At 49.2% G+C, this 13,607-nt stretch overlaps 1 long non-coding RNA gene and 3 other non-coding genes across 4 annotated transcripts, besides 2 other annotated features; all 4 read right to left on the bottom strand.

The window, feature by feature from the left end:
* Positions 1 to 1,035: 1,035 nt before the first annotated feature.
* On the bottom strand, positions 1,036 to 5,303 carry SNHG11 (small nucleolar RNA host gene 11). Its single transcript, NR_003239.1, has 5 exons — positions 4,945 to 5,303; positions 4,334 to 4,491; positions 3,227 to 3,295; positions 1,510 to 1,621; positions 1,036 to 1,424 (listed from the first exon to the last, which is right to left on the bottom strand). It is a non-coding gene; the product is annotated as a small nucleolar RNA host gene 11 (long non-coding RNA).
* Positions 2,453 to 2,588, bottom strand: SNORA60 (small nucleolar RNA, H/ACA box 60). The gene has a single exon (NR_002986.1). It is a non-coding gene; the product is annotated as a small nucleolar RNA, H/ACA box 60 (small nucleolar RNA).
* Positions 3,739 to 3,874, bottom strand: SNORA71E (small nucleolar RNA, H/ACA box 71E). Its single transcript, NR_002972.1, has one exon. It is a non-coding gene; the product is annotated as a small nucleolar RNA, H/ACA box 71E (small nucleolar RNA).
* Positions 3,914 to 4,468: an enhancer, noted in NCBI's record as "H3K4me1 hESC enhancer chr20:37076132-37076686 (GRCh37/hg19 assembly coordinates)". NCBI's record gives its function as "activates a minimal SCP1, AML or CMV promoter by ChIP-STARR-seq in naive H9 embryonic stem cells {active_cell/tissue: H9 hESC(naive)}" and the evidence as "EXISTENCE:reporter gene assay evidence [ECO:0000049][PMID:30033119]".
* Positions 5,418 to 5,467: an enhancer, noted in NCBI's record as "active region_17859". NCBI's record gives its function as "activates an Ori minimal core promoter by ATAC-STARR-seq in GM12878 lymphoblastoid cells {active_cell/tissue: GM12878}" and the evidence as "EXISTENCE:reporter gene assay evidence [ECO:0000049][PMID:35858748]".
* Positions 9,788 to 9,921, bottom strand: LOC124904975 (small nucleolar RNA SNORA71). Its single transcript, XR_007067762.1, has one exon. It is a non-coding gene; the product is annotated as a small nucleolar RNA SNORA71 (small nucleolar RNA).
* Between the last annotated feature and the right edge of the window lie 3,686 nt (positions 9,922 to 13,607).

The raw sequence follows: 13,607 nt of genomic DNA, 5'->3' as shown, positions 1-13,607 counted from the left end.
TTATTTCTTTTTTTTTTTTTTTCTTTTGAGACAGAGTCTCACTCTGTTGCCTAGGCTGGAGTGCAGTGGCGTAATCTTGGCTCACTGCAACCTCCACCTCCCGGGTTCAAATGATTCTCCTGCGTCAGCCTCCTGAGTAGCTGGGAATATAGGTGCCTGCCACCATGCCTAATTTTTGTATTTTTAGTAGAGATGGGGTTTCACCATGTTGGCCAGGCTGGTCTCGAACTCCTGACCTCAAGTGATTCACCCGCCTCAGACTCCCAAAGTGCTGGGATTACAGGCGTGAGCCACCATGCCCGGCTTAGTCACAGTGATTTCTATTTCAACTGAAGGAGTGGGACCAACTGACTCCCAACTTTCTACCATAGCCTTTGGGAGCATTCTTGTGTGAAATTTACCTGAAAAATGAGGACAGAGCAACATATGGAGGTGGTGACACACATACAATGCACACGTAAGCACATCACTGCGATCACTGCTACCAAAGAGAATCCCCAAAGACCAAATCTATCTCATGGTAACAGAAGCCCCAGCGGCTGGCACTGCCTGCCACACCCCCAGAGCTCTCCAAGTGCAGCTATTCCTCATATACTCCACTCTCTCCTCTGCTCAAAACCAACTCCTACATTCACCTGCAATCCACCACCTGAGCTCAGGGCACTCTTGCATTCTTCAAGGACTCCAGCCCCTGCCTCCATCCCTAAGTTATCCCGTCATAGTCTTCTCTCCCAAAGCCTTGGCTCAAATGTTTCCCCTGCCAACTTAATCCTAAGAGTTCCCCTTCTCTCCTAAGCCTGAACCCCCCCACCCCTAGATGCACTTGGGATTATTGTTCAACCCCGGTCCAAATCCCACGTCCCATCTCACATTCCCTAGGTCAAGCCTTGGGTATGTGTCAAGGGGAAAGTCTTAATGAGTGAGAACCAGAAGACCTGCCCTTGTGACCCACTCTCTACACCCAGTCTTGCTGGCACACGGAGATACTGATTAAAAAAAAACCAAACACACAAAAATGAAAGAACAAGCAGCAGGGCATGTTTCAAGATTTATTGAGTGGGTGAGAGGACAATGGTCCATAGCACAGAAAAAGTCAACAGGAACAAATTCTTGGTTTTCAGAAGTCACACCAGGAGGAGGCGGGAGGACACGGAGGATGGCCACTGGATGGCCTGGCCTAGATGGAAGAAAACCTGTCTTCCTGGGCCATGGCACTCTGTGGCACTGGCAGGGCAGAGCCAGCTGAAGGGTCTTCAACTCTGGATCCCAAGTCCCCAGAGCCACAGGGCTTTTCCTCTGCCCACCCACGCTGAGGGAAAAGTCGAATAATGTTGTGCTGAGACAATAGGGGCAAGAAGGTCCAGCCATGAGTCACAGGGTGACATCACTCGTCACTCTTGGTCTGTGATCAACCCCCAAACAATCTAAAAGAGAAGACAAATGAAGCCAGCGACCTGGAATTTCCACCTCGGAAACACAGGCCAACTTAACCTCTTGGCATTCACTTACCATGAGGAGGCCCCTCCAGGGGAGCTGGGACCCCAGGTCATTGTCCTGAGAGGCTCAGTGCCTGCACCTCTTGGGGTTTCCTCTAACAGTTTCCAGACCCAAGGCAGCATCCCTGGAGTGAGGAGGGGCCACAGAGCAGAAGGCTGTAAGTACTTGGTCTCCAGTGTTCTGTCGTCTTTCTTCAAGCTGATGTCAATGGGAATGCCCCCAGTTAATCAATCAGGTATGAGTTGCCAGTTTCTTTCATACCAAACTCATCTCAAAAAGGAATCTCAATGCTCCCAAAGAATATCAAAATAAAAACTTAAGAGTCCAGCAAAACTGTCTTAAGAGTCTTAACAGGCAACTGAGCAGATGTGCAACTGGCAGAAAGACAGCTCAAGAGACCTCTCAGGGCCCCTCCCATAGATGTCCACCTCGCCGTGCTGGGAGCCAAGGATCACCCCAGCAGCCATCCCTCCATGCTGTCATTACTTGCCTACACATCTGTCTCCCTGGTGGGACTAGACACTCTTGCTCATCCCAGACTCAAAGACCTTCTCATGCTGCTACCCCTCCCTGGAATACCTTTCTACTGCCCATCACATCCCAATCCTTGAAAGACCTTCTCATGTTGCTACCCCTCCCTGGAATACCTTTCTACTGCCCATCACATCCCACTCCTTGAAAGACCTGCCCAGGCCCACCACCTCCAAAAGGCTGCTTCTCTTTGAAAATCTTAAGGCAGTGACTGTATGCCACCCATCATCACACTTATTCATTAAAAATAATTCACACAGGCTTTCTCCACCATCTAGTACTCAAACCTTGACACTGAAAGAGACTGCTCTCTGATAACAGGAGGCTAAGCTGAAAAAAGCCATACTAAAGTGTCTCCCATCACTCACTCACACAACATCCTGCAATGCTCCTGAGACCAGAAGGTGCTGGCAGGAGAGAAGGAGTGTGTGAAAGCGCCAGCATTTGAAAGGGACAGGTGTGAACCCTCCAAACACGGGAAACGGCTTTCAGCAATTCCTCTCCCTGCGTTATTGATGACCAGAGCACAGGCAGCCCGTGATCATTTTTGAATGCAGGTGTATACAAGGGCAGAGAGAGATCCATGAGGAGAAACAGATGCCAGCAGCTTGTGGACTAGGTCCAGTCCAGGAAAATGATCCAGCCCAGCACAGGATCCCAAAAGTGGCCCTGCTTTCCTGTAAAACTTCCTTGCCAGGAGGAATCACAGAGAAGTCACATGGGGCAAAAACAATCGGAAAATATTGGTTGGTAATGATAGGAATCATATGGTCTCAAGTACCACAAAAGTCACCTCTATCAGAACATTATTTTCCAAATGAAGAAAATTAGGTTCTGAATCAGTCCTTGACTGGGATAGTGGCAGAAGGGGATTCAAAGCCAGGGGACCAGAGTCTCTGAAGCCTAGGTCCACTCATTTTCCATTACAACATCCTGCTGCCCAGGGAGAAAGGGCAGAGACCTCTTATTACCAAAGTGGGACTCTGGAGGTTTCCCCCCAGCAGCAAGCCCGGAAGGCACAGGAAAGGCCAGAGGTGATCTGGGTTGGCTGGGTGGACAGCGGATCTGGGGACCCACAGTGCCATTCTCATCTCACCTCTCAGCTCCCCTACACCAACCCCAAAGCCCCTGGGAACATGTACAGAACTGTACTAGATACAAGGAACCAACATTCCAGAGAATGAACCAGAGATCTTACCTCAAGGATACTGAGGTCTAGCATGTTCCCAACATGACAACTCCCATGCCTCTGCACACAGTGGACTATCTGCAACAGATAAGATGCCATGAGTGAGCACCCAGCTTGTCCCTGCTCGCAGCAGGGATGGCAGGCAACAGGAAAGGGCTTAGCACAGTAGTTACCAGACAGTAAACACTCCTAAGCAAACACACTATTTCCTCATAAAAGAGAAAATAGTTAACTCTACAGAGGAAGACAGCGGATGGTCTATGGCAGGGTGAGGGTGGCCAACACTGATCAATGTGTAGTTAATCAGCAAAAGATTGAAAGGAGATCAAAACCAGGTTTACAGCAGTGTGCCATGGCTGAGTGGCAGTGACTCTGCTGGTCATCAAGGGGAATTTAAGCAACACACACAGCCTGGTTCCCAACAGCAGGGAGCAGGAAGTGAAAGCTCTAATCATGATATAACACACACGGCAGCCCCCAATCCCCTGGAGGCCCCAGGTGTGTGCAGCTTTGAGAAGGAGGAGTGTAGGAAAGCTCCTGGGACAGGAGGGTGAAGATGTGGACCCTCCAAACACAGCAACCTTTCCCGCATTTCCTCTGCCTGCACTACCAATGACCAGGACACGGGCAGCCCGTGATCACTTACGAATGCAGGCGCAGAAAAGAGCAAAGGGGATCCAGGAACAGAGGCCAAAGTGAGCTGCCTGGAGATTGCCAAAGCGCCAAGCCCAAAGGACCTGAGCGCTATCCACTTAATGCAGTACAAAGATCTCATCTGCCCCCATCAAGAAAGTCACAGAAGACCAATTTCTGGTTAAAAAAAAAAAAGGCTTAAATTGTTCATTCATCCCACAAATATTGAGTATCTACAAGTAGCCAGACATCATGGGTTCAAAAGCAAGAAAAACGTGCAAGATCTCCCCACTTACAGAGCTTTCGCAGTTTCCCTACATTACAGAAAGTCAAGCTCAGGAGAATGAAAGAACTTAGCCAGGCTCTCCTCTGCACCCGGCTTTGCCATACAGTTCTCGGAATTCATGACCATGCCCTCCGCTGGGGTCCCCCAGAAGGGAATTTGAAGGGTCCCCCAAAGTGCTCATGACCAGCACCACTTACCCAGGGACATCCTCACACCGCGGACAGTGGGAGCCCCTCAGGGAGTGCAGATCAGGGTGCTGCAGGAAAAATGGGGGCGCTGGCTGGTGCGGAACCAGCAAAGCCATCCAAGGGAGAGCTGTCATCTGTCTCCAGGATAGCCGCACAGCCCACGAGGCCTAGGCAGGGAAAAGCGTAGGGAAGGGGCTTAGTACAAGGTCCTGGCAAAGGAGTCTGGAATTCGCCCCTCTGGGGCCCTGGGAGCGTCCTCCATTTAAACCTCAGCCAACTGGTCTGTAAAATGGAGGTTTTACAGCTACTTTTTAAAGGTTATTGAGGAGAAAATGAGTTCACGGTTCCAAGGACGTGGCACAATGACCGACACTTTGTAGGCAACCGAAAAGCAGCTTTGGGGGCTTCCAAAGTCAGGAGTCGGAGATCGGGGTCGGGGGAGTAAAAGTCGCGAGGTCTCTAGCCCCCTCAGCCCGCGTGCAAGGCCCCGGGCACAGCGTTGCCAAGCCGTTTCTCAAGGGGGCACTAAGCCTCCCCGCAGAGAGGCTGTGCCGACCTAGGGGGGTTTGACGTCTGCATGGGGTCGGCTTAGCCCAGCGAAGGCCGAGGGCGCGGCTCACCCGCCAGTCTCTTTCCCGAGGACACGCGAAACCCGAGGGGCCCACCCCGGCAGAGGGGACGGACCACTGCACCAGCGGCTGGGCCTGACGTCCAGCCGGCTCTTCCCACTCCCCTCGGGGCCTCAGTTTCCCCTTTTGTCGGGGAGGAGGTACACAGCACCGGCCTTGGGAGGCCACCAGGGGTTCTTGGGAAGACCACTCCTCGGGCCCTGCCCCTCATTGACTCATCCGGAGCGCCAGGACGGATGGCGGCGGGTACAGGGGTAACCGCGCGGAGGAGGCTGAGGGGCAGGCCGCAGCCACAAGACGCTCTCTCTAGTGCTCAGCGCCCGCGGAAATACGGCTGGGGGCGCGGCTGCAGCCTAGAGCGGCGCTTCCGCCGGGCCCCTGCCCAAGCAGACGTGCCTGCAGCGCCCCCTGGGAGGACGGAGCTGCAATTCTGTCCCTCCACTAACGCCCTTTATCCAAGCGTTCATCTAATGGAGCATCCCTTCATGAGTTCACTCACCCATCCATTTACCCAGAAAATATTTGTGAAACATCAGCTTCCATTTGAGGACACAGTGAGAAGACAGCCATCAGTCTATAAACCAGGAAGTGGGCCCTCACCGCTTCCTAGTTTACCAAATCTACTGGTGCCTTTGATCTTGGACTTTTAGCCTCCAGAACTGTGAGAAATAAATTTCTGTTGTTTATAAGCCACCCAGTTCATGATGGCACTTTGTTATGGCAGCCCAGACAGGGGTCGGCTGGCAAATAGGTCAGCTTGGACCATGGCCAGCTTGGTGTCCACACACCCTCCTCTCCAAGCAAAAAAATAGAAAAAAATCCACTTCAAACATGCATCCTTTCTAGCATTGGCAAGAGTGTGTCTGCAGTCTTGTTTTGTTTTTGACGTCAGCATACAAATAAAGGGTCAGCCATTGAGAGTAGACTGTTCTTTTAATGCTGTAACAAAGGCTGTCACAACATACTTATTTCAAGAGCTCAACATACTGCCCTGTTTGCTGGAATCACGTACTACGTAGGCCAGTGTCCCAGATGAGAAAGTCAACGTGGATAAGCAAAATGCCCACAAGGCTGTATGCAACAGCCAAACCCTCAATGGAATTTCTTAATAACTGGCCATTTAGGACAAGTTAAGGAAAAGACTTGGGCTTTTAGATAGAATGTGTTGGTGATAGAAACCTAACTTACGCTTTAAAAATAAAATACATTATTGGAAAACTTATATAATCAAGCGAAGGGAAGGGCAGAGGTCAAGCTGGGCCTCCAAGACAACAAACACCAGAACTGGAATTCCATCCCTGTCCTGCAACTCTGCCTCTCTCTCTGGGTGGACTTCTGACTTCACACTTGCTCTGATTTTTTGCTTATAGTGAGGGACATATGCCACGTTTACCCAGGGGAACATCTCCATCCTGCTTCCATTGAGGGTAGGCAGGACTGCCACATATGGTTGTGCAGGTCGTGTACTGCACAACTCATGGGAGCACCATACACATCATAGCCTATGGTTGAGAAGCAGAGATGCCAGGGATGATTGGGCAATCTGATGACACAGAAAACACTTGACTTAAAAGAAAGAAGGTGTTTTCCCTAGCATGTTCTTCCCTGGTGTAGCAGAGTCACCCTCTGTCATACCATCTCATCCTTAAATGATGGTCCTTCTAATAAAGTCCCTTGAAAATATCTCTGAATGGCAACACTTTTGAGGAATTTTTTCTCCACGCTACTTGAGATCAAGCAGAAGACTTTAATTAAACCTGTGACAGTGAAACCTGTGCACGGTCATTAGAAAAAAAGGTTTGCAAGCAGTAGCGGGGCTTTCTGAGAAATGCTATTCTGAATTCCACAAACTTTTTTTTTTTTTTTTTGAGACAGAGTCTTGCTCTGTCACCCAGGCTGGAGTGCAGTGGCGTGATCTCAGCTCACTGCAACCTCTGCCTCCCGGGTTCAAGGGATTCTCCTGCCTCAGCCTCCTGAGTAGCTGGGATTACAGGCGCACATCACCACAGCCTGACTAATTTTTGTATTTTTAGTAGATTGCACCATATTGGCCAGGCTGGTCTCAAACTCCCAACCTCAGGTGATCTGCCTGACATCGGCCTCCCACGTGCTGGGATTACAGGTGTGAGCCACTGTGCCCGGCCTGATTTTTACAACCTTTCACACTCAAGCTCTCAATTCTCAAAATTACCTTCTGGGCCAAGGATAGGCACTTCCACCCTTTCTGGAGCTCTGGGAGGAGTCACCCATCTCTGAGGTCCCTCATCTAATTTGTCTTGAGTGTGGGTTAGGACTTGTTGAGGCTGCACACCCCTCAGGGTGTCTGTGCTTTGCTTGTTCATGGGATCCTTGGCTGAGTCCCCACTCCTTCCTGAGTAAGCTCACCCGGCAGGCACTATCCAGCATGGCAGTGTATGTGGTAGGGGTTGGAGGGTGGGCTGCAACAGAGGTAAAGGAAGGAGGAGCAGGTGTCAGGGAGCCTGCAGGTGGTCACATCCAGCTGTCACCATTGATAAAGATACAACTGATTTCCATCTGCCCAGCTCTCGTGTCCACCTCTCCCCATTGGTGGGGTCAGAAGGCATTCACAAGGCAGAAGCACTACTCCTGCCCTTCAAGGGCACTGAGGCCAAGACTTTCCAACTGAAGCCTGCCAATTTTTTTTTTTTTTTGAAACAGGGTCTTGCTCTGTTATCCAGCTTGCAGTGCAGTGGTGCAATTATGGCTCACTGCAGCCTTGACCTCCTAGGCTCAAGCGATCCTCCTGTCTCAGCCTCCTGAGTAGCTGGGACTACAGGCGCATGCCACCAGGCCCCGCTAATTAAAAAAAAAAAATTTGTAGAGATGGGGTCATACTATGTTGTCCAGGCTGGTCTTCAACTCCTGGTCTCAAACGATCCTCTTGCCTTGGTCTCATATTCAGTCCATAACATCCTCCAAGGGTTTTTGAGATGTTGTTCCACAACACTGACATACATTTCCTATTGATGTACTTTCATGCTGGGATTACAGGCATGAGCCACCAGGCCTGGCCCTATGCTCGTTTTCTGCTTTTGTTATTTCATTAATTTATTTGTTTTGTTTTGTTTTTTGAGTCAAAGTCTCGCTCTGTCACCCAGGCTGGAGTGCAGTGGTGTGATCTCAGCTCACTGCAACCTCCGTCTCCCGAGTTCAAGCAATTCTCCTGCCTCAGCCTCCCGATTAGCTGGGATTACAGGCACACGCCATCACACCCAGATAATTTTTGTATTTTTAGTAGAGACAGGGTTTCACCCTGTTGGCCAGACTGGTCTTGAACTCCTAACCTCAAATGATCCACCTGCCTCAGCCTCCCAAAGTGCTGAGATTGTAGGTGTGAGCCATCATGCCTGGCCCTAATTTTATTTTATTCGAATCAGTTAAGTTGTCCTGCTTTTTTCTTTTTTTTCTTTTTCTTTCTTTCTTTTTTTTTTTGAGATGGAGTCTTGCTCTGTTGACCAGGCTAAAGTTCAGTAGTGCGCTCACTGCAACCTCCACCTCCTGGGTTCAAGCAATTCTCCTGCCTCAGCCTCCCAAGTAGCTGGGATGAGAGGCGCCCACCACCATGCCTGGCTAATTTTTGTATTTTTAGTAGAGACGGGGTTTCACCATCTTGGCCAGTCTAGTCTCAAACTCCTGACCTCAAGTGATCCACCTGCCTCAGCCTCCCAAAGTGCTGGGATTACAGGCATGAGCCACCACGCCCAGCCTTTTTTCATTTTTTTTAAGCCCTCAGAGCCAAGAGCAGACTGGGACACAAGTAATTTTTCTTACATTTCAGAATTAAGTGAGCCCTCTCCTGTTGCCACAATGAGCATTTCCCTTTCTTCTTTTGCATCAACATTTAAAGATCATCTATTACAGGCCATGCAATGAGATGGGGGGATACTGCCCCCTCCGGTTCCTAACTTATCCACATACCAGCACAGGTGTCCACTTCCCATCCCTTCCTCCTCTTCAGCTTCAGAGTCTTCCTCTTTCTCCCCCTGACCCTTAAGAGCCTTCCCATTGCAACTTTAAAGGACTCCTATTTGAGTACTTCAAAAATCCACCAAGAGCCAGATGCATTGGTGTGTACCTGTAGTCCCAGCTACCAGGGAGTCTAAGGCAGAAGGGTCCCCTGAGGCCAGAGAAGCATAGCAAGACCTTGTCTCCAAAAAAAGAAAAACCCACCAAGGTCCAAGCACGATGACTCACACTTTCAATCTTAGCACTTTGGGAGGTTGAGGTGGGAGGATCGTTTGAGCCCAGGAGTTGGAGACCAGCCTGGACAACATAGTGAGACCTCATCTCTACAAAAAAAATTTTCTTAATTAGCCAGGTGTGATGACATGTGCTTGTAGTCCCAGCTACTTGGGAGGCTGAGGCAGGAGGATCGCTTGAGCCCAGCAGGTTGAGGCTGCAGTGAGCTCTGATCGTGCCACTGCATTCCAGCCTGGGCAACAGAGCAAGACCATGTCTCAAAAAACAAAAACAAACAAACAGAAAACCACCAAAGCACACCATCTCCAAGAAGCCATCTTTCTTTAAATCCTATCATAATCACGATCTATACTCAATGTTGTATGTATTCATACACTCAATTGTTAATTTCCGTACAGTTCACCTGGCTGGTGAAATGTTACCTCTTCTGTGCAGGGCTCATGCTCTGTGAGCCTCAGCCATCCCTTGAGTAGTTAATCTTGTCCTGGGCAACAAATAGTCCCAGATATACACAGCCTAATTTTTGCCAAGAAGTCAAGCTGAGAAAGGCCAAACAAAATGACAGCCCACAATGCCCCAGAGGCTTGAGAGTGTTCACAGAAGAGAAGTCGAATGTGAGAAAAGCACTAGCATTTCCAAGGATAGAGATGGACCCTCCAAATGCAGAAAATGCTTTGCGCAGTTCACCGGCCTGTACTATCGATGACGAAGACACAGGCTAGCTGATGATCACTTTCAAATGCAGACACAGAAAGAGAGCACAGCATGAGACAGCGCGGGAGGCAGATGCCAACGGCCAGCATGGGAAAGAGCAGCCCAGTGAGCACAGAGCCCAGCAACGGCCACCCTGTTCTCCAAACCCTGTAAAATTTCCTTGCTGGGGAATTAAAGGGAACACACTTCTGGTAAAAGAGAGGGAAATATCTTGGCTTTGGAAAAGATCAGGATTGTAGTTATAAGAACAATAACAACAACAATAGTAGAAATTCCTTTCTCTCACAGCTTTGTTTTTGGGGTGAGTAAATTGAGGTTAAGAATAGGGCACAGAGTGGCTGGACGCGGTGGCTCAAGCCTGTAATCCCAGCACTTTGGGAGGCCGAGATGGGCGGGTCACGAGGTCACGAGATCAAGACCATCCTGGCTAACATGGTGAAACCCTGTCTCTACTAAAAATACAAAAACATTAGCCGGGCGTGGTCGTGGGCGCCTGTAGTCCCAGCTACTCGGGAGGCTGAGGCAGGAGAATGGCGTGAACCCGGGAGGCAGAGCTTGCAGTGAGCCAAGATTGCACCACTACACTCCAGCCTGGGCAACAGAGCGAGATTCTGTCTCAAAAAAAAAAAAAAAAAAAAAAAAAGAATAGGGCACAGAGCTAGATTGTGGCAGAGGAGATTGGGACCCAAGCGTCTCTGATGCTCCATCATTTTTATTTTATTTTATATTTTGTTTTATTTTTAAATTTAATTTACTTTTATTATTTTCATTTTTAATTTAATTTACTTTTATTATTCATTTTATTTTATTTTTTGAGACAAAGTCTCGCTCTATTGCCCAGGCTGGAGTGAAGTGACACAATCTCGGCTTGCCATAACCTCTGCCTCCTGGGTTCAAGCGATTCTCATGCCTCAGCTTCCCGAGTAGCTGGGATTACAGGCACCCACCACTACGCTCGGCTAATTTTTCTATTTTAGTAGAGATGGGATTTCACCATGTTTGTCAGGCTGGTCACAAACTCCTGACCTCAAGTGATCTGCCTGCCTTGGCCTCCCCCAGTGCTGGGATTACAGGTGTGAGCCACCTCGCCCAGCCCATCTACCTGTTTTCTATCACAGCACACTGCTGCCAAGCTCCAAAGATGCCCCCATAGCACCCCCAGAGAGTGCTCATCACCCAAATGGGCTACTGAAAGACGCAGTAACAGAGGAGCAGTAAGAAGCCGAGGAGGAGAATGGACAGATACAACAAAATCTGCAGCACGGTGGTCACTCTTGGTGTGGAGATGGGTCTGGAGCTCCTGCAGGCCTTGCATGGTCAGTTGCTGACTTCCCACCTAGACTCCGGGCACCAACTCCTTGGAAGAAGCTGTCCAGCCAGCCATGATTCCATCTCTTCTGGTGAAGGGGCTCCAGGCCCCAGGGATTTCTCAGCCACTATGAGGTCACAGACTTCCTGTGGTGGAACCTTGTCTTCCCAGCTACAGTCCAATCCTTTGCAACGAGTATGTTGAAAGCAGGACTCCTGATATGTCTGCTTAGACTTGCTAAGTGGGAGCGTCTCTCCCCTGCCCCTAGAAAAATATAAGGCAAAAGCCTTAGAATTTCTCTGATCATTCTTAGGTAATAAAAAGTCTTGCAATCACTAAAAATGGAAAACACAGTTTCCATTCAACAATTTTATTTTATTATTTTTTAATAATACACCAGTAGGGTCAGGCACGGTGGCTCATGCCTGTAATCCTAGCACTTTGGGAGGCCAAGGCGGGTGGATTACAAGGTCGGAGTTTGAGACCAGCCTGGCCGATATGGTGAAATCCCATCTCTACTAGAAATACAAAAAAATTAGCCGGGCTTGGTGGCGCACGCCTGTAATCTCAGCTACTCAGGAGGCTGAGGCAGGAGAATTGCTTGAACCTGGGAGTGGGAGGTTGCAGTGAGCCGAGATCGCACCACTGCACTCTAGCCTGGGCGACAGAGCCAGACTCAGTCTCAAAAAAAAAAAAAAAAAAAAAAAGGCTAGGCGTGGTGGCTCACGCCTGTAATCCCAGCACTTTGGGAGGCCAAGGTGGGTGGATCACGAGGTCAGGAGTTTGAGACCAGCCTGACCAACATGGTGAAACCCCATCTCTACTAAAAATACAAAAATTAGCCAGGCGTGGTGGCACATGCCTGTAATCCCAGCTACCCGGGAGGCTGAGGCAGGAGAATCACTTGAACCCAGGAGGCGGAGGTTGCAGTAAGCCGAGATCACACCACTGCACTCAAGCCTGGGCGACAGAGCAAGAATCTGTCTCAAAAAAGAATAAAAAAACCCCACCAGGATTAGTTAAGGATCTGCTGAATCCATTCAACAAGTTTAAATGTTCAGTCTAACGCATTACTATGTTTTCAATGATCTTCCATAGGTAAGACTTCTCTCCACCAGCTGGGGCTAAGTACGGGATAGGCTGGGGTAGGGACGTGGGGCTTCTCTCTTCATGTATCCAGATATGTTTCTCTTCAACAGGAATTTTCTGTCCACTTACCCACTCTCAATACTTCCAGGATAAAAACAGGTAGAGTAAAGGGTAAGGAGCGGGGAGACGTCTCTTGTCTGTTGCTTTTGTAAGAAGCCCGCGCCCTCTCCAAGCTAGGGAGATGTTTAATCCTGATTATTTCTCTTGTGGCCTTCCCTATCAATCCCAGGCTTCTCAGAGGTTGATCTTGTGGCCTTTCTCATGGGCTCTTCAGAGAGACTCCTCCTGTTGCCTGTTGCATCCCTACTGATGTGTGCACAGACCCTCTTCTTGGAATTCCCTCACCCTAGCAGGTTCCCTCATGGATGGGACCTCCTGGGTCCCAGGCAGACATTCATACCACAGATTCTACTCCTACAGAAAGAGACTATGAACCTTTGACTCAGGAGTGGGTTGGGCCCCAGTCACCTGTGCTCCCCAACTTTGAGTGACAAATGTCAAGCTCCCTTGTGACCTGCTAAAGTGCTTCTTAATGAGTTAAGGTGAGATGCACGGGCTCCCTCCCTGTCTCTCCCTTTTGGGGGCAGGGGGTGAGACTCACAGCTCTTGCTTTTTCATAAGAAATACAATTCATCATTCGCCTTCTTTTTCATTTCTAATACTGTACCATTACTACCCTCCAATTGGAAGAGAAGATTCAAGAGTCACAAGCAACGATGTTTCGGTTATCTCCTTCCTCAGTTCTGCATTTGGTCCAGCACCTTCTTTGGAAGGCAGCTGCTATTTTATCACGGAAACTTCAAAAACTGCCAATACTCAAATCAATTTTTGCTTATCACAACAGCAATTTTATTGGATTTTCAATTCCTTCCTTCCTTCCTTCCTTCCTTCCTTCCTTCCTTCCTTCCTTCCTTCCTTTCTTTCTTGATGGAGTTTCACTCTTGTCAGTCAGGCTACAGTGCAATGGTGTGATCTCAGCTCACTGCAACCTCCGCCTCCTGGGATCAAGTGATTCTCGTGCCTCAGCCTCCCGAGTAGCTGGGATTACAGGCACCCACCACCATGCCTGGCTAATTTTTGTATTTTTTAGTAGAGATGGGGTTTCACCATGTTGGCCAGGCTGGTCTCGAACTCCTGACCTTGTCATTTGTCAGCTGAAACTTCCTTTTTTTTGTTTGTTTTTTGAGACGGAGTCTCGCTCTCTCACCCAGGCTGGAGTGCAGTGGTGTCATCTTGGCTCACTGTAAGCTCTGCTTCCCGG

This window comes from Homo sapiens, chromosome 20 (assembly GCF_000001405.40).
Source record: "Homo sapiens chromosome 20, GRCh38.p14 Primary Assembly".
Taxonomy (NCBI): Eukaryota; Metazoa; Chordata; class Mammalia; order Primates; family Hominidae; genus Homo; species Homo sapiens.
This window is presented reverse-complemented; position numbering and strand designations above follow the sequence as displayed.